This window comes from Homo sapiens, chromosome 3 (genome assembly GCF_000001405.40).
Source record: "Homo sapiens chromosome 3, GRCh38.p14 Primary Assembly".
Classification (NCBI taxonomy): Eukaryota; Metazoa; Chordata; class Mammalia; order Primates; family Hominidae; genus Homo; species Homo sapiens.
This window is the reverse complement of record NC_000003.12, coordinates 6,614,377-6,635,242: the sequence shown is the minus strand read 5'-3', so window position 1 is coordinate 6,635,242 and position 20,866 is coordinate 6,614,377. Positions and strand designations below refer to the sequence as shown.

Sequence of the window (20,866 nt, the reverse complement as noted above, 5' to 3'; positions counted from 1 at the left end):
TTGTACCTATTGAAAAAAAAAAAAATTCCACTTTTTGGTTTCCAGGGTCCCCAGTTTGAAATGTCTTGTTACTGCTGACAAGACCTGCATGACTGACCATTTGCTCCCTAAGAGATGAAAACTGACATTGCTTTGAAGTTCAAAATGACATTGCCAGTGAGTTTTACTTTAAAATGGAGCAATTGCTTTCTAGTTAAAGGGATTTCTCAAAAGGTCTAAAAATTTGCTGTCACGAAAATACATAGTCTGCCACCATCTTTTTTTTTCTTTTTCTTTTTCTAAGCAGTAACAGGCTACAAGTGCTAGAAAGTTATTTAATTTTTCTTGAAAATATTGGGATACTAATTGCAATGCTTCTATGTAAAGCTCCATGAAGCTAGAAATGTGCATGTTAATAGCTAGCTGAATGCAAAATGCAATTCTTCTAAATGCCTTCCATAATACTGTTTGATTTTGTTTCCCTACTCTGACCTACATAGTTATATAGTAGTATGTAGTAGTTATGAGAGTGTATTGTAATGCCTACTTAACTTTCTGTCTTCTTCATCAAACTGTAAACACATGAGGGCAGGAGCTGTATCTTATTTACTGTACACAGAGTTTATTAATATTCATAGGTTAGAGTGAATGAAATAAATCACAAAGATCATTATGTCAACAAATATAGAAAAGTGAAAAATGAAGGGCAGGTATTAATCTCATTTAAATTCACTTGATTACATACACAAGAACCAACATGCTCCTCTCTTGTGCCCATGCCACATGTCATTTTAGAGACCTCTTAATTTATACTGTAGAAGAATGTGATTATTTATAAGAACTCAAAAGGGAGGGCTAGAAAACAAGAGAGAGCTAAGAGATTGCAAGCCCAAGGCAAAAATGTAAGAGCTGGAAATTAGAGTTACAAGAGGAACACTTAGTATGCTTGTGTGTATAAATACTTTCATAGGACAGCAGGTGTCTACCAGACTTTTCTAAGGGAGTCAGATAGTGAGTATTTAAGGCTCTGTGGGCCATAAGGTCTCCATTACATATTCTCTTTTCTTTTTTTTTTCTAAAAAACCCTATAAAAATGTAAAAAATATTGCTGCATCACAGATTATCAAAACAGAAGTAGGCTGTGATCTTGACGATCTTGATTTGGCTCACAGACCGTAGTGTCCCTACTCCTGACATAGAAGATTGACATTATTGTTGTGAAAATTTTAGTGATTTGCTTTTTTTGGCCTCAAAGAAGAAAACTGGCACGTGATGTTTAGCATTTAAAATTCTACATTCACAAGAAAACAAAACAAAACGAAACAACAGCCAATGGCCAATTCAACTTTGAAGTCAATTTGGAAATGATGTTTTGGAAAATGTTGATTTAGAATTCAGATACTCCCACAACTATGACTCCACACGTTCCATATTTAAACAGGAAAAAGAAAGAAGAAAAGGAAAATAGTCAAGAAAAATTAATCAGAACAATACTGAACCTAGTTACAGCTGTGTTTGCAGGTGGCACAGGCAAGGAGTAATAAATGATCTCGTTAATAAAGCCAGACATTTAATAACAACAGTAACCCACATTCTATAGAATGCTAAAATACCTCAAAATGCAAGTTCTGTATAGAAAAGGATATCTTCCTATATGCACAAGGAGCCTCGTTAAAGTGGAAGAATCCTTTTTTGTAAAGTCTCATCACTATTGCTAGCTATGAAAGATATTGTACCCCATGTCCAAATTTTATTTTTACTTTTCATGTAATTATTCTGCACATCATAAAAGGAAATACTTAAAAGGGAGACAATGTGCCTGTTCTTTGTTCTGCCTATAAAATCAGTACATAGGCCACGCATGGTGGCTCATGCCTGTAATCCCAGCACTTTGGGAGGCCGAGGCAGGCAGATCATCTGAGGTCTGGAGTTCGAGACCAGCCTGGCCAACATGGTGAAAACCCACCTCTACTAAAAATACAAAAAATTGACTGAGCATGATGGCATGCACCTGTAATGCCAGCTACTTGGGAGGCTGAAGCAGGAGAATTGCTTGAACCCGGGAGGCGGAGGTTGCAGTGAGCCGAGATCGTGCCACTGCACTCCAGCCTGGGCAGCAGAGCGAGCCTCCATCTCAAAAAACAAAAACAAAAACAAAAACAAAATCAGTACATTATTCTCCAAATAATGTGTGATTAATAGATTTTGTTTTAAATGAACATGTTATGCCTTCTAAATGTAACAAAAGATAATTCTTTTCTTTTTCTGGCTTATCGAGTGAATTATCCATTTACATGTTCATTGTAAAGGCATCTTAAAGGTTTAACATCAACTTACTAGAAAGCACTTAGAATATACTCATCATTTCAATACCTCCAACCATATACAGTATTTGTATATTTTAAGTACAGAATAGTCACCTAGGTTTCAAAAAACACAGTGAAGTGGTTTTAAAATAACTCCTTAATTTTGAGACAGGCAAATGTCTAGGGGGAAAAAAGTGTTACCCACTGAATAAAAAATAAAGTAGCTAATAAGAAATCCATCCTTTTTTTAATTTTTTTTCCTCTTAGCTCAAATTGCTAAAGTGGTTAAGGTAGTACATAATTTTTCTTTTTGAAGAATTTTGTCCAGTTTGACAAGTAAATACATGTTTAACTCTCTTTCTTCTTTTATTACTGCAGAAACAAGAAGAAATGGAAAATAACTGCAGCACGTTTATGACATTCGTTTCTTTCTCCACATGAAACATACAATGAGAACACTTTATAGATGAATTGTGTCTTCGATTGAATAGAGAATGGTGGACTAGCTTTGGTTTTATGGAATTGGATAATTTGTCATAGTTTCTGTCCCTGGAAAAATGAGAACCCAAAGGAAAACAAGTGGAAAGCCTTTAAAAAATAGTGATATAATACACAGCTGATATTTTTGGTTCATAGAATACTTTAAAGTACATCATTTACAAAGCAAATTACTAAATTATAAGAAATGCTGTCATCATCAATAAACATTCACAGAGCTTCAGGTTTTAACACAAAGCATTCCTCATATTTCAGGTGATATTATTTATGAAAAAATTACTTGGAGATTGCTCCAAGGTTATCACATTCTTTTCAAACCATCAATTCCCTATTATTATTTACTATTATTAGTTATTATTTATAAATACATATGAATACACAATGAAAGCATGCTTTATGTATAGCATATAAATATATTTGAACTTTACTTTCCCCACATACTATCTATCCTGCAATATTACACCACCAGTAAAAGAGTATCTAAATATTAATTGCTCCTATCACAATAGTGGAAACTAGAAGAGATAAGTTTTCCCAAATCTGAGTAGAAAACCATGGTTAGCGGATATCCATTTGTCCATTTACGGAATTATAGCAATAAAATCCAGCCAATAATTTTTAGTTTGCTTATTATGTAGTGGCAAAACATAATGTCTTTTTCTCACCCATTACAAGGGTCACAGCTGACATACCTATAACAAAAACCAGATGAACAAGAAAAATGCATAATGTGTTCATTTAATAAAGTTTTAAGTGACGTGGGAGCCTTCAGAAATGCAGACCCAAACCCAGGGAAAATTTTGAATTTGTATGCTTCTGAAGAAAGAAGTGAATAGTTGTGGAGAAACGTGATTCGACAAAAAGAGTATGACCTAATGATAATAAACTGTAGAGAATTTAGCAAAGCCTGTCTCTTCAGATTCTTCTCGACCTTGCTGTGTAGCATACCTTCCCCCCATATAAGGAAGAACAACTGCCAGAAAAGGGTCTTCTGATCTATTTTCTGGTAAAATAGGTCAGAGTGACCCTTTTAGGTTTTACGGCTTGCTGTGAGGTCAAAGAATTCTAATTTCTATGGGCCGCCTTGGGAGAGAGGAGAGCTGGAGAAAGGAGAGTGAGAGAAGGTCAGAGGGGCCTTCCTTCTGAGGCCCTTCCAGTGCCCTTCAGTTCAAAGTACTCTGCATGCCAAGACACCATATATTGGGGTATAATGTTTTGAGTCCTAGCAGTTAATAATATAATATTTTTCAAAAAATCTAGAGAAGAATTTATTTCATAATGTTACTAACCAGTTTTTTAAAGTCAAATTTGAAAATGATGCCAAAAATTATACTGATTTTTTTTCTTCAGATAATTGTGAAATTCTACTGTGTCTTCTCTTTAAAGATGAAAAAATAAGATAAAAAACATGAGCTGGGCATGATGGTGTGCCTGTAATCCCAGCTACTTGGGAGGCTGAGGCAATGCAGGAGGATCACTTGAGCCCAGGGGTTCCCAGACTAACCTGGGAAACATAGTGAGGCCCTAGCTCAGAAACAAAACAAAACAAAAAACTTCTAAAATGCGTAAATTTGCTTTCAATATCAGTATCAGTTCAGTTGGAGGGGAAATTCTTAAAAATCTCATAAATATTGGTACAAGAGCCTTTCTACTTCCTTCTCTTTGAAAAATTAGTAAACTGTTAGGTTACAAAAACTGAAAAGTCTGGGTTTGATCAACACAGGTCTCTGTTGATCAATCAATAACAGATTGAAGTTATTCTGGAAGAGTTGTGCCTGTCATACATTGTCTTATTCCAACATCTCCTGAAGTTGTCATTTGGAAAATTATTAAAAAGGATATAGTTTCTGTCAATTCAGTTGATATTTTAAGATGATGTATTATTATTATTTAATTTTTATTTATTATTATTGAAAATTATTATTTAATTTTTTTGTCTCTGTCTTATATGCTAATTTAAATTCATTAAGCCTACACCAATCTTAAAGGAAAAGCTGATATTAAGCAATTTCTTCAGTACTCTTTGGATATAACTCTTTGTCTAGCTGAAAAACCTACAATTAACCCTGGGCCATTTCACCGCTGTGAAGATTAAAATTACTTTTGGATATATTCATTAAGTATTTTCTATATTTAGGTTATAGAGTCTCAATCTTTTTTTTTTAATTAAAAAACCCTCTTTAAGTATATTTTTGTTCTAATTGTCAAACTAACCACTTATGCCCTAAATAACATCAATGAAAAAGAATTACCTCAAAAAATTTGTAATTCAGGTGAGCAATAATTGACCTATGGCCATTTGCTGGAAACCAGGCAAGATACAATTCAGCCTTTCTTTCCAAAAGGCATAAGAACATACTAAATTGCAAATATCGTAGACCAGACATCTATCCTATTTTGACATTAATATCAAGGAGTTTATTTTACAATAAACCTTACGTCAGTTGCCTTCCATGTTATTTGTCTCAAAATATTAGGCTATCTAAGCTACTTTTCTTCCGAAGGAGCTCTGAGACCTCCAGGGAAACAAAGTACACTTTAATCTCCTCTCCTCTTCACTATCCACACACTTTCCTGAAATCTGAGATTGGCGCTCAAACTAAGAGAGAAGAGAGTGAAAAAACTTCTTATTACTCCCTGTTCCCAAATCTTTTAAATATAAAATCTGTGTTACATTACTTAGTCAACTTATAACACCCTCACTTTGCAGGATAGGTAAAAGAAAAAAGTAGCAAAATTTTTTGAAATAGAATCATAAACTAAACATTGCCTGGTTCAATTTTTGATTTAAGAGAACTTCTCTATAAAATACTTGTTATGGAGTCAAGACTCTCTAGAAACCCCCATACAATTATTTAACTTTTTTTTCATGGGAAGCAAATGGGATTGACCAAACATTATTTTTTCCCCCTTAAAGAAGAAGCACGTGATTTTATCTGGGTGCACTTTCCCAGAAGATAGTTCTTACATATAGTACCAAAATAAAAGAACATGTAATTTTTAGAGACATCCTTTGAAAACTGTCTTTCATTAGAAATAATGTTAGTTTCATTTATGCCTCCTAAGGTGCCAAATATAGTAAGACAGTTGTAATTCTTTATCACCATGGATCCTGGAAAAATTAGAAATGGTGTCCAATTACTTCATTTTTGACCTTGTTATGGCCCCTAGAAAACATACAAAGACTCCTCTGCAAGGCGAAGACATGCCTATGTGTCTTCTCACCAGTCATCAGAACAATGTAGGTCTTAAAGCTAAAGTGGATAATACTTGTAAACTTGTAGGAATCTCACCCTCAAGTAGAGAATTTATAGAAGTGAGAAAATTGTCATTTATTGCTTTGTACTTTTTGTTTGTTTGTTTGTTTTTGGAGACAGTGTCTTGCTCGGTCGCTTAGGCTGGAGTGCAGTGGCACAATCAGAGCTCACTGCAGCCTCAACCTCCCTGGGTCAAGTGATCCTCCCATCTGAGCCTCCCAAGTAGTTGGGATTACAGGCACGTGCCACATGTTCAGGTAATTTTTTAAAACTTTTTGTGGAGATGGGGTCTCACTATGCTGTCAGGCTGGTCTGGGACTCCTAAACTCAAGCAATCCTCCCACTTCAGCCTCCCAAAGTGCTGTGATTACAGGCATGAGCCACCACACCTGGCTGTTTTTTGCTTATTCGAAAGGAATATAAAGTCAATACAACATGTTGTCTAATACAAGGAGCAGAGGAGGCAGCCCCACATTTCCAGAAAATAAAACTAAAATTTTCTCTTTTACAGATAAACAAACACAGAGGAGAAGCCCATAGTCCCCAGAACTCCTCAAGTCTAGTTGTCTATAGTCTCTCAATGACAAAGGAAATATTTTATTTAAAAATTGCCCAAAATATACCAAAAATGTCAATTTATTCTGGAAAAAGCAGGTTTAAGCAAGAAAGCATTTTACATCTGAGAAGTTTTGTGTAACATTTAAGTTTGCATTATTATAATGTCAGAAAAAAATTGGTGATCATTAATCTATCTCATAAGTCTACTTATGTTTGTGATACTCATAGAGATCATAACTACCTTAGATATATTATTAAATCTATGATTTTTTGTTTAGATTCTCAACTTGCAATGAAAGTTCTGTTTATGCCTACTATTTCTCTAAAATAATCTCTTCAAAAGTTGATTTATAATATATTAAAATAACTGTTACGGTTTTACAGGGTTGGTCTAAAGTCAAGATATTATAATAAAATAAATGGACAATTCATTTTTGTAAAATAATTGTTCTTATTTAATGTTCAGGATGTAATATTCTAAATGTTATTAACTTACAGAACTAAATAATGCTGGAGTAGTTCAGCAAATGCTAGCCCAAAATATGCTGCTTTTCTATGCTGATTATTTCAAACTGAGGGGACCTGAGGAACAGTAAATTAAGGGAGAAGCTTCCTCTGAACTTCCTTTATCTGTCTAAAAGCAGATCTTCTGAAAGGAACTCAACTATCATGAATCTCCTTCACGGGAGTCTCATTAACCAGGGAAGATTAAACTTGTATCACAGGAGAGGACACTGGAGGTTGACACCATGCTCAGACAGACTTTGCCGTAGTGTAGTACTTATTCTTCTGAGGGCCTCTTCATCTTTCCCCCAAATCATTTATACTTCCCTAAGTTCGCCTACATCCCCCGCTTACCCCTCTCTAATGAAGAGGGTGTAGGATGCAGAAAGGGGTTGATCCCTTTTCTCGCCATCATGATGGTCATGGCCAACATCCCTATAACTAAGATTAAAAGGAGAAACGCATAAAAATTTTATTTGATCATAGCTTTGTGTGACGTAGGAGCCTTCAGAATGAAGATCGAAATACACAGGGAAAACTACACATTTTTATGTTTAGGTTCAGTGAAGTTTAAAGAGCTCTGTAGAAAATTGTGATTGGAGAAAAAAAGATATGACCTAATGTTAATACACTGAGAGGGAAAACCCAATAAGGCTTATCTGTTCCTATTTTTTTTTGGCCCCTCTGTGCAGTATTCCTTTCTCCTGGGTATGGGGTAGGAACCCTCTGGAATGAGGGTCTTAATTTCTTTATGACCACTTGTTACACAGAATGGTGGGGGGAAGATTAGAGTATTATTTTAGGTTTTATGTCTGGCTTTGAGGAAAGGGGGTTCTGGTTTCTATGGCTTGCCTGGGAGAGAATGAGAGGCAAGAGGCAGGAGAGCAAAAAAGTTCAGAGAGACACTTTGCTTCTGAGGCTGTTTCTTAAGCCTTCACTTTGGAATATTATTTTCTGAACCCCAACAAGAGTATATAAGCTTCTAGATCTCCCTGGGTTTTGGGGTGTTCACTTTTCTTTTGTGTGATGTCCCCATGTATATAATAAATTTGTACAGACAGTCCTCAACATACTATAGTTCAATTGAAATTGACAATTTCTTGACTTTATGATGGGTTTATCAGGGCTTGAGATGCATTTTCAACTGACGATAAGTTCATCAAGATGTGAACCCATCATAAGGTGAAGAGCATCTGTATACCTTTCTCCTGTTAATCTGCCTACTCTCAATTTCATAAACTCAATTATTGAACCCTCAGAGAAAAGAGAAAAAACGTGCCCTCCCCTACAACGCTCTACTATCAATTAATGTTACATGAGTAGGAAAAGTGTTTGCCCAAATACTGGTCTGGGAATGATATTAGATCATTACCTTTTTTGAGTTATGAATGATAATTTTCTAAATATTTAAACAGCACTTTTGCCAAAGATGCCATGTTTATGTTTTCCTCATCAATGAAATCTGTTTTCTTCTTCCTTGACAAGATAAAACAGGAACCACTCCAATTTATGAGTCAGAAGCTAATCATTTTTAAAAGATAGTTTTAGAATATAGCTTTAAGTAGGGTTTCTTTAAAAAATAATGAGTTGCAATCTCTCAGAATCTTAGCCACTAAAGTATTCACTTCTGAGAATAGAGACAAAATGTGAATTTGCTTGGAAACACTCATTGATGTCTTTCGTTATTGACGAGGTAATTCTGTTGTTCAGCAGTGTTTGGAATTTTAATAAAAGGCTTGCAGAACCTCTAAGATTGATAGTTAAAACAGCTAAGAAATTCTCCCCTACCCCTGGAAGATGTAATGTTCCTGGTGCTGAGGTACAATCTGAGTCATTTGACTTTTTTTTTTTTTTTTTTGACTGAATTTTGCTCTTGTTGCCCAGTCTGGAGGGCAATGACACGATCTCAGCCCACCACAACCTCTGCTTCCTGGGTTCAAGCGATTCTCCTGCCTCAGCTTCCAGGTCATTTGCCTTTTGAATTTATAATTGTATTGGTAGGATTGAGTCTAGCTGATTCATATGAAAGTCTAACATTTTTCAGGGAAATTACCATTATATGAAATAAATGTGTCAAAGTCACATTATATAAACACAGGATTTAGAAGATGTAAGTTAACAGCAATCCATTCAATAAAGACATGGGGTATCATTTGATCATGAGAGCACTATGAGTCACTGGTGAGATATGTATTAAGAGATAATTTTCAAATAAAGGTCAAATCACGATTCTTACACACATGTAAAAATGAACAAGTCTTAAAGATTTTATTTTACTCATACGATATTAGGAAACCAGGGAGATGTTGTAACAGATTCAAAGGAAAAGTCAAAAAAGCAAAAATTACATAGAATAAAAAAAGTTTGGATGGGAAATGTTACAAATGGGAATAGAAGTGGTTTTCCATAGGAAGGAGGAAATTAATTAAAATCACTATTAAACAGGAAAGAATTTATGTATCTATCCGTTACCTATTTACAAAGAGTTGCAAAATGGCTTAAATACAATAAATGGAACTAAACTCTAACAGCCAGGAGGGCTAACACAAAGAGGATGCATAGTTTGCTATTGAATACAATGTTTTTCTACCTATGACTACTAAGTAAACAACCATAACCTGAGACTGATCTAATAGAAATAAAGTCCCAAGTTTAAGGAGACTATATTCAATCTGCACTGAATGTAAGTAAAAACGTATCTAAAATATTATGTGAATTCTAAGTATGAATTTTTAAAAATAGTACTATTCATTCTCACCCAGCCCCAAGACCTTCTCTCTCACCCTTCCTTTTTCCCATTTCTGATAAGAACAATAGGGTCGACCCAGTTATTCAAATCCTAAAACTAGGAAGCATCTAGTCCTGTCTTTCAATCATCACTGATCCCAACTGTAACACAAGAAATCCATCATCAAGTACTGGCAATTGAATAATTTATCCTAATTTGGTCTATTTTCAGTCTTCACTATTCCACCACAAATTTAAATTATGATCTCTCTCTTTTTCTCTCTCTCTCTACTGAATAACTCCTCACAAATTCCCAACCTCCACTCTTGCCTCCTTGTAATCTATTCTCCATAAAGCAGCCAATGAAATCTATTAAAAACTATATATTAGATTAAATTCTTCCATACTTAAAGCCATTATATATCATTGGGCTTTAGAATAAAATCTAAATCCCTCACTAGACCACATAATGCCTGTCTCTGTCTCTGTCTCTGTCTCACACGCTGATTCTTCTCATTTAATCCTATGTTCTACTTAGTCTATGCTTACTGAATTCCCTTATCTTTTGAATATACTACCCTGGGTCTTACCTTTGCCCTGATTTTTCCTTTACTTAGCCCCTTTTTGTCCCAGATTTTTGAATGTTTGACTTCTTTTTCATCATTCAAAGGCAATTTCCTCCAGGAGAACTTCTTGCCTCATTCAATGTAATATTATGTAACACTCCAGAACATTCATTTTTTTTAAGTCTCCTGAATAACTTACTGCTGAATAAAATTTAAAATTATTTAATTTCTTGGTTATCACCTATCTTCCCTGCCCTACTATGCAAATTACCTAAGATCAGTGATCTTCTATTTCCTGCTTACGGCTGAGTATAAGAACACAGAAAAGATTCTAATACTACTGGCAATTGTCAATGTTAGTTGAATTAATTAGTCAATTATTCCATTTTTTTTTCTCAAGGAGTTAGGTAAACTACATTTTTTTTCTGAGGAGGTAAAATTTATAGGATTTATGATAAATTCAGACCTATTGAAGGAAGCTTAATTTAAAGAAAAGAGGATTCAGGTCTACAGGTACTGCTAGCTTTAGGGGTAGTTGGGAAGAATAAGTAGACTTGTTTACTTAGGTCTTCCAGCATCTGATGCAAGAAAGGTTAGCAGGGATTTATTTTAAAGGAGTCAGATTAAAGTCTACACAAGGAGAGTTCTCTGGGCTAACATGGATAGTAAGAGAAGACATTCCACATGACAATGAAGTCTGGAATCACTGACTACAGGTTAGGCTAAAAAACATCTCTCGTGTATATCTGATAGAGAAGCCTCAGCTTTCCAGTTTGTAATGAGGAGGTAACAGTTTTGTATTCCTTCCCTTAAAAGACAAAAATTAAAGCAAATTTAGTCTAAAAATCTTAATTGTTTTTTATCTGCAATTCTGGAATCAGTCGGGCAACACCTCATCCTATAAAACAGAATGAGTGAACTGAGCAGAGGTTAGCTTTATAGGCAGAAAGGGGCTGAAGAAAGCAGCAACTGAGAACAAAAAGCAGATTAGTAATTTCAAAGTCACTTCCCTTATAAAGGTTAAAGCAGAAGAGACTCCCTTATCATGCGGGCTAAAAACTGACCTGTTTGATATTTTGCTTATTATTTCTTCCTCTCTTGATTTTTTGGAAGGTCAGATAAACAACTTAGTTTCAGTTGGTGACTTGGAAGTTTAGCGTGAGTAATTCCATTTTGGTTTGGTCTGTTGGGCCTAGTCTAACAGCCTTGTCCAAATCAATAGCCTCCTTCAAATTTTATTTAACTCCACTTATATTTTATTTGGTTGTGCAGATCCTAGGAGATTAGTTACAAGAATACATTTTGAAAAAAGGAATCTTGTGCCAACATGAGGCATCATTGTCATTAAAACCACTATGTAATCTCAAGATCTCCATTTCATCATTTACACAATCTGTCTCAAAATGCCTCTCTCCTTGCTTTGTGAGGTACAGATGCATGCAAAGAATTTTATTTTGCTGCTTATGGTAGCAATATAGGTTGCATTAGAAATGAGCATGATGGAAGGATTCTGTTCATTTGGTTTAACCCTGCAAGGGGATTCACAAATGTGCAGAAAACCTATACAGTGTAAATTTGTGCCAGAAAATGTATATGAGCCATTTACAGTATTAAGGTAAGTCTACTTTACAAATATTCACAGAGTGTTCAATTATTTTCAAGTTGTGTCTCCAGCGAAAACTCCATCCAATTTACCAGTATGACGCTCATGTTTACTGAAAAGCCTTCTTCATTTGCCTCATCTTTCCTGCTTAACTGATGGCTTCCCACTAAGCCTAACCATTATCACTAAGCATATGCTTATTTAGGCAACAACAAACCTTCCTAGCTCATTTTTCAGATTCTCCCTTGCCATAAATCCATATAGTTCTTTGTTTCTATTAATAATGATACCTGACTGTGTATAAAAATAGTTACTATTGACTGAATGATTGCCAGGTGTCAAGCACTGTGATGAAAGCTCAACATGCATTAATAATAATAGCTCACGTTTGTGACAGGCACCATCCTAAGTGCTTTGCAGACATTAACTCATTTACATCTCAAGAAAACTTTGTGAAGCAGATACAATCTTCCCCAATTTACAAATGAGAAAATTGAGGCAGGTAGGGGGAAAAATTAATTTTTCCTCTACATTTTATAGTGTTTAGATGGGATAGATTGCAAAAGAAAGATTGACAAGAGAAAAAGACACAGAAATTTAGTAATGTATATACTTCATGTAGATAGAAGAGATACCCAAAGAAATGAGTAAATCTCAAGGTGACTTTGAATTCAGGTTTAAATACTACTGTCCACTGAAATAAAAAAGGTGTGGAAAGGGCTGGTTATGGAGAGATGCCCATAAAATGCAGAGTAAACAAAGGTAAAGTTTGTTATGCAGACTTAAGTTGATGCTTTCCCATTGATAAGAGTCTTTGGCAATGCAGAATCATCTGTGTTTTCCTGGTACAGAGAGAGAGTGATATCCTTACAAATGGAGATACCTTTTAAAGATATAAGTAGATATAACTATAACGCTGATCTGCTGTAGACAGATAATATTACAGAACAAAACAGCATTCACAGAACTAGAAAGTATCGAAGCTCAGTTAAAAGCTGTTAAAAATCTTAGCACAATGCTGAAAACTAGGTATTACCTTCAAAATAAAGACATTGAGATTAGAGCCCAAAATGCTTAAGTGACTTGCCCTATTTGCATAGTCCAAGACTGGGAGAAAGCAAGGACCTGAAGTAATCCTTTCCAAAGTCATGTTCTGGGCTCTTGCACATACCTCATGGGCTTTAAATTGTGCTAGAATTTAAATGAGGGCTAGAGTCAGCAAGTGTTTCCCAACAAACAAATAGTACCAAACAGTAGAGTGTTTTAATTCCAGCTCATCATTCATTTTAATCACTGTATTCTCAGGGGCAAATATGCAGTAAACTGGGAACAACACACACCAGTTCCATTAGTCATTACAGGACTGGAAGGAGCTGGAAGTTCCTTCTCACTCCCTGGAAGATAGTTCCCTTCTCCTCTTCTAGTGAATATTAGGATCTAAGCAGAATGTCTTGCCTTGCCTCTGCACTCTTGCTCTGAGATTCGTTCTGTAAAAAAGCTTTGGAAGGTTTCTAGAAATGAGGGTCATGGCCCTCCAGGGTGCCTAAGGAACAGGAAAGTCACCAATTCATTTACTACATTGTTTGTCTTTCCTTTTTCTCAAAGCTAATAAAAATGAAAGGTTCTCAGAAATACGAGAAATGAATATCTAAAATAATTTGAGTCATATTGGCATGGGGTTATTCCCTTGACCTTGAACCCATTTGTGGGCAGGAACTGGAGTGGTTCGTTTCACTCATCCTGTAGTCCATGGACAGCTAAGTGTTAACAGCTCAGTGAAGGGTCAGGATGACAGCCTCCAGCACCTGCTCTTTTTGACACCTGAGTTCTTGTTCAGTATCCAGGAAGAATCAGGTCACACAAACTATTTGAAGGGTAGTGTTTGAAAGGAGGATTTTATTGGGTGATAAAAGTGTCTCTCAGTGGGATGGGGAATTGGAAAGGGGATGGTGCAGGAAGAAAGTCATCTTTCCCTGAAGCCGCACTGTCTGAAGTTAGACACAACTATTGCTAGTCTCCAATGCTCAGCCTCATGTATCCCCAGTGTTCAGCAGCCTGTATTCCCAATGCTCAGCAGCTTGCATCCCCAACCACTTGAATCAGCCACTTGTGTTGCTCTTTTCTTCTTTTTTCTCTGCCAGTTTGTCTGGTTTTTATGGGCACAGGATAGGGGGCAGGACGGGACAAAAAACAGTCATTTGGGAGGAAAAATGGGGTCAGCTGCTTTCACTTAGAGCCAAGGTTCCAGGCTTGGGGATGGAGTTTAGCCAGGAGCCCAGCCATTGTGTATCAATATCATCATAAAAAAAAATGATGCAAGACCCATTTGGGTTTTTTTTCATCAATAAAAAGGTAGTAAATACTGAGGTAATTATACTTTTTTTTGTTCTATAGATATTTTATGATTTCTGTCTAATGATATCCATTTTTTAAAAAAAAAATTACTCTCCCCACCACCTTTTAAAAACATGATTGTTAACATGCCCATGTTGTATATCATGTATCACATGATATCATGTATCACATCTATCACATGATATGGATATCATGTATCACATCTATCACATGATATGTATATCATGTATCACAGCTGATGCTGTATTGGACCATATCTGTGTCAGGGCTCGGTCTGTGTCAGGGCTCAGGACATGATAATCCAACATATGACACCTTGGGCAATTGAGAAAGCCACAGAAGCCAGAAGTTCACTGTGACTTTCCCCTGGCTTTCTGGTGTGAAGCATGGTCATAAAGGAATTACCTGACCTCCCTCACCCAAACGTAGATTATAAGACCCTCATTCCAGAGGCTTCCTGCTCCATACCTAGAGGTGATTAAGTGTTGTTCAGAAGGGCCAAGAAGAATCTGAACAAACAAGATTTGCTGAGTTCCTCCCAGTTTACTACCATTAAATCATACCCCTTTCTTTGTTCAATCACATTTCTCAATGACTGTCCATTCTTCATTGACCCTAAGCATAAAAATACAGTTTTCCCTGGGTCTCTGGGTCTTCATTTCTGAAGGGTCCCATGCCATCTAAAACTTTGTTAAATAAATTTGTTATGCTTTTCTCTTGTTAATCAGTCTTGTCTTATGGGGTGTCACCCATGACACTTGCAATGGGTAAGGAAAAGATATTAATTTTTCTCCCATTCACCTGCTTAGACAAGACTAAGGAACTTGAATCCAAACATTGGTAGAATTCTATGTTTTGTGGAGCCTGGCCCCAAAATCAGCTTCACCAATTATGCCTTGTTCTGGGAACCTGGAAGGGTGTATTTGAGAGATTAGACAGTTTGAAAAGGAAACAAAAACTCAAAACCTTACTGAGTATAAATAAAATAATTCATCTCAAACTCTTCACTTCCCTTATGGCAAAGATTCTCAACTTTGGTACTACTGACATTTAGGGCCAGATAATTATTTTATTATTATTATTTTTTTAATGTGGAGGTTGTGTGCATTGTAGGACGTTTCCCAGCATTTCTGGACTCTACATGCCAGTAGCACCCATGTCCCTGTGCTGACAATAAAAATGTTTCAAGACACTGTCAAATGTTTCTGGGGGGCCAAAATCACCCACAGTTGAAAAATAACAACCCCATGAATCTTAAAGTAGTAGATAAACATACACATAAATCAAAAAAAGAATGTTGAACAATCTGTCATTCTAGCAAAACCAGAATAAGTTGGTGTTAAAAATCAAGGTTTCTTTCTCTATAAACTGAAATGATTAAGAAACAGGAAGAGCAAGAGAACAAGACAAAGACGGAATATGAATGAGTGATGGATGCTCAGCAGCCCTAATCTCAAGTTCCTCAGTCTTATTAGTCATGTCCTCCCAAATAAAGGAGCTGTTCTAAGAGAAGCATGCTCTTCTTTCTCCCACAGAGACAAGATTCCTATTTTTTATATAAGATTAAAATACCAGTTAGAGAAAAATTGTGTGATGTAGAAAGGGGACAAAGATAATCTAGAAAAGATGAAATGTACGAATGGGCAAGCTGAATAATGAAGACATAGAAAATAAGGGAAAGGAGACAACTTTAACTGGTTGGAATAAGAAACAGGATGGCTGGTCACAGAGAAACAATGACTGAGAGAGATAAATATTTATCTCTAGGCTTAGGCTTACAGTTCCAATCAAAGTTTATATGTCAATAATAACAATAACAAAGCCATTTTTTCCTTGGAATAATTCTATTCAATTCTTCCTCCTTGCAATCAAATAGATAGATGCAAACATTGCTACTGCTATCATTTGTATTAAGAGAAAACTGACTTGTCAGTAGTGTCAACCCAAATATGAACTCATGTCATGTTTTTAAAACTCTATTTAAACAGCTTTGATATATCCCTAGAGATTTTTAAAGCATTGGCAGAGAGAGAGAGAACACACAAACATTACCTTTTGCATGTTCCTAATATCTACCAAGACCTTAAACTTCTACAAGACCAGAAGATAACTGTTTCTCCTCTGCTTTTTCCCCTTTTAGCTATATGTATTTATAGTAAGTTCAGCCAACTGTTTTTCTTCTGTTATATTTTTTGAAATCTGCTTTTCTCTGCATAGATTGAATCTACTTTCTGCACCTTTGAAAGACTATTGTCTTAGATATCTTTCGATTCCACACAGTACTTTGAAAAAAATTTTCTAAATTTTAACTATACTCAAGATTTATAATTGTAAAAAATAAAAATACAACAACAACAAACAGGTGTATTAAGGTTTATAATCTTAGAATAATTACCACTTGTCACCATGGAAAATCCCACTGATATGACAAACTAAACTAAGTTCAATTCCTCTGGTCCCCTGAAAATTACACAATGTATAGACTGAGTCTCCCTAATCTGATGTTCAGAAGTTTGAAACTTTTTGACTGTCAACATGATGTCACAAATGGAAAATTCCACATCTGACCTCATGTGATGATGGGTTACAGTCAAATCACAGATGAACAATACACAGTTTATTCAGTGTCTCTAAAGGAGAGAAGATCCTCCCAGGCCCCTTCAGCTATGATATATCTTTTTCACAGGTACCCATATCCCCCCAAGCAAGCACATGCAGAGTGTAATAAAATGGCATGTGTCCAGACCAGTCTCACCAACAGCAAGCTCTTCACGATGCCCCACAGCTACTAAAACATTATATAAAATGACCTCCAGGTTATGTGTATAAAGTGTAAACAAAACACAAATAAATGTATTTAGACTTGAGTCTCATCCCCAAGATATCTCCTTATGTAAACAAATATTCCAAAATCTGAAAAATTCAAAATCCAAGACACTTCTTGCTCCAATCATTTTGGAAAAGGGATGCTCAACCTGTACCATTCTCACTATATATATATTTACATTGTTTCATTCACCTTTCATGACTTTACTACAATTGTTAGGCACGTTTTTAAAAGAAAGTCTCTTCATAGTTTGCCATCACACTCCTTCAACAATGAATCATCTAAAGTGAACACTCCTCATGTTTTAAATCACTACTGTAAATTGGGAGTAAATGAAGCTGGAATTTGAGTCTCAGAATTGTGTTTAAAGACTTGTTGAACATTAAATATATATAACCTAATCCATCTCTCATTACAGATGGAACAAATAAATCCCAGAAAACATTGCTCAAGGGCAAATGATTAAGTAGTTCTGAGAGTTAAACTTAGATAAGCTTAGATCATTTTGCTCTAAATATTGTTCACTCTTCTATGTCTCTATCATTATAACACACTATCTCTATGTCTTTCTGTATTAAGTCATATGTAGCCACCAACATAATTAAAGAGTATATCAAAATGATTTAATTTTTCTATCTTCAGGCAAGTTCACATCAAACTTCATTAGGCATGTAAACTATCATAAGGGGAAAAGGAGAAGCTAATACTTAGCTCTTACTCTGTGATAAGCATTGGACTAAACATTTTACATGTAACTATCTCATTTAATTACCAAAATAATGCAACTTATGGGTCAGAGTTAAATGCTGTCTTGTTTAGGGTTCATCTGTAGAGACTAGATTTTTTTTTCTGTTATAAATACCTAAATAAGAAAAGCTTATCATCATAGAAAAGTAAAGGAATAGACTCCAGACTCAGGCTGGGGCCATACCTGGGCTGCCCAGGTAACTTCTGTGTCTAGTGTGGGAAGGGAATTGCTCGGCCGTTGATCCACTTGTGCCAGGATCTCCGTGAGTCAAATGGAACTCCAAATTCCAAATCTGAGACTCCAAGGAGTACATGTGATCTGCAAAACTAAAATCACATCCAGAACTGTAGCTGCAAGTGAGCCAGGAAATGCACTGTAGAGGCTGGGAAGGCTCAAAAGTAACAAAGGCATGCATGGAATCGTCAGAAAGAGTGTTATAAAGCCAATACAAATGACCCTCCACAATTATTACCTCATTTAAATTGAGAAATTGTGGGAAAGAATGTTCAAGTGACCAGAATTAAGTCACATAGCTTGTGTGAGCTGAAATGGGTATTCAAATGTAGACTTATATGATTCAAATATCCAGTCTTTTCTCTACAACAAAATGTTTCTCGATTCCTTTGATTGGCCCATCCAAACCACAGAAATTTTCCTGATTTCTTTACCCACCATCTTCCAGGCTTAAATTTCAGCTTTTTCTGCCTTAGTTCCTTGAAATACATTGAGCAAGTGTTCATTCATAGTTCGTTCTATGCATCAACTATTCACGGGAAAACTGTGCCCTCATCCTGATTATAAGGCATGAGATAACACACCATGCTGTCATTTTATCATTTTCATAATTAAATCAAATAGTGACATATCAAATGCTTAGTCCAATGCTTGGCACAAAGTAAGAAGAATCTCAAAGCAGCACACAAATATGAGTTTGTAAGAAAGGTTATGTTCAAATACAGTTAAAGAATCAATGGCTAATTTAAGATACTTGAAATATCTGGACTATTTAATAGGCATATACCTCTTTTTGGGAAAAAATCTGAAAAAAGTTAATCAAATAATAAAAACGAAATATTTAAGATAATGTTTCTAGTTATCATATGTTCCATTTAAGAAAGTAAGACCTATGTCTTTTAAAATTCAATGTTTCTTAATGTTTCTGTGTTAAAGAATGTTTTTCCTCTCTGGACCATAGCAGATGACAATATTTGGAAAATACAGTAAAAATACTATGAAAATATCAGGTTGTTATAAAAATTCCTAATGCTGCCCCTTGGTTTGTGTACTGATTAGTCACAGGTAACAGAGAGCTCTCAGACCAAAAGCTCTCTACAAATCAAATGTTCACTAGAACTGTTTTAAATTATGCTGTAAGTCATTTTTCTATATTTTAGAAATTTTTTAAAGCTGCAACTTTTTTTTATTTTTCTTCCTTTTGGAGTAAAACTTTAAAAGCATACAATAATATTACTTTAAAAGTAAAACAATAAAAGCTAATTTGAAAACAATATTAGATTGAAATTCAGAGTAGGAGGAAAAGGGTTCCCTAAAATAAAATTGTAATTTGGGAAAAGTAAGATGTTTCTCTTCTGAGTTAATGCCATGATAATAAAAGTCTAACTTCTGGCAATAACTTGAAATTACATTCATTTATTTCATTCATTATTTTTTGCTTTTACTAAAATGAATTTAGTAGGAAGTTAGGTTTTGGATACCTGCCATCAACACTAAAATCAACAGTAAATTTGTTATTAGTGTTTTTTAAGAGTGTGCTAATGTTACTCATTAAACACTGGATGGATTGGTTTTTAGCCCAGTTTCAATGGCGGTTGCATTTTATTATGTGGATGTTGCCTGGTGTGTTGGCAAATGACATATGCTGTCCTCCTAGAATACTCATGGAAATGAGGTGTGTCTACTCAGAGGCAAGCTGGGTGACCAAAATCTGGCACTTAATGAAATCAACAAAGACCCTGTTTGTCAAGGGTGACTTTATGTTTACGTAAATGATTCTCACCTCCATAAGGATGATGAGGTGTTTTACCATCAGTGATTTTACACTTGGAAGAGGTGATTAAACACCTCTGGTCTGCTGCTCACATTAAGGAAGAATATTTTTACATTCATTCTTGCAACAAAGCTGAAGTTTATGCTACATTTGGGAGTCTGTGGCAACGAGATGATGTTTCATTTGCTGCTCTACCATTCATTGCTGGATTTGGAATTTTTAGTTAAAATAAACATAGTTAACTTTTTCGAATGACTTCTCGATTACCACTTAGTGTGTTTGTTCTGTTTTATTCTCAGGGAAGCTCACACTGTTTATGCCTCCAGAACTTTTTACGACGTATCCTTGAATAAAGATTAGTTAAAAACCTTTTGTACCTCCTCCAAAGAGTGGCTATAAGACAAGGGCAGGCCTTGGAGCTCAGATTATTAAGTATTAAACTCTCTTGGATGATTAAGGTTTATATCTCAGTATGACAGGGACAAAGCTGATAAAAGGACCAAATTTCTCTGGGTAAGCTCTGTGAATGTAGTTTTAGAGTATACAAGAATTATCAATGATTATGCTTTCAGGTGACAAAACTAAATCCAAGTCTCATTCTTAAAAGCCTATTGGGCTGATGAAAACTACAACATTTGTCATTATTGGATGTATTGTGTTCCAGAGTTCCTTCCTAATTTAGGACAGTTACAGAGAAAGGGCTTCATACTGTAATCTGGTGTGACTACCATTGACATACTCATTATACAAGCCAATCATGGAACAGCTATTTGCTTTTATGCTATGAAGCCTAAAGACTGAGCCTGAAAGCTTTTAAAAGTCTACCTACAAGGCTGGGCACAGTGGCTCATGCCTGTAATCCCAGCACTTCAGGAGGCCGAGGCAGGTGGATCATGAGGTCAAGAGATCGAGACCAGTCTGGCCAATATG

At 35.5% G+C, this 20,866-nt stretch overlaps 2 long non-coding RNA genes across 20 annotated transcripts in view; one reads left to right on the top strand and one right to left on the bottom strand.

The window, feature by feature from the left end:
* GRM7-AS3 (GRM7 antisense RNA 3) overlaps positions 1 to 2,885 on the top strand; it is a 173,092-nt gene extending 170,207 nt beyond the window's left edge. Inside the window, exons 3-4 of the long non-coding RNA NR_110123.1 lie at positions 46 to 156; positions 2,664 to 2,885. This is a non-coding gene — a long non-coding RNA (GRM7 antisense RNA 3). The remainder of the gene's footprint in view (positions 1 to 45; positions 157 to 2,663) is intronic.
* LOC105376944 (uncharacterized) overlaps positions 1 to 20,866 on the bottom strand; it is a 246,298-nt gene that overhangs the window by 101,497 nt on the left and 123,935 nt on the right. The gene's annotated exons all lie outside the window — the stretch shown is intronic.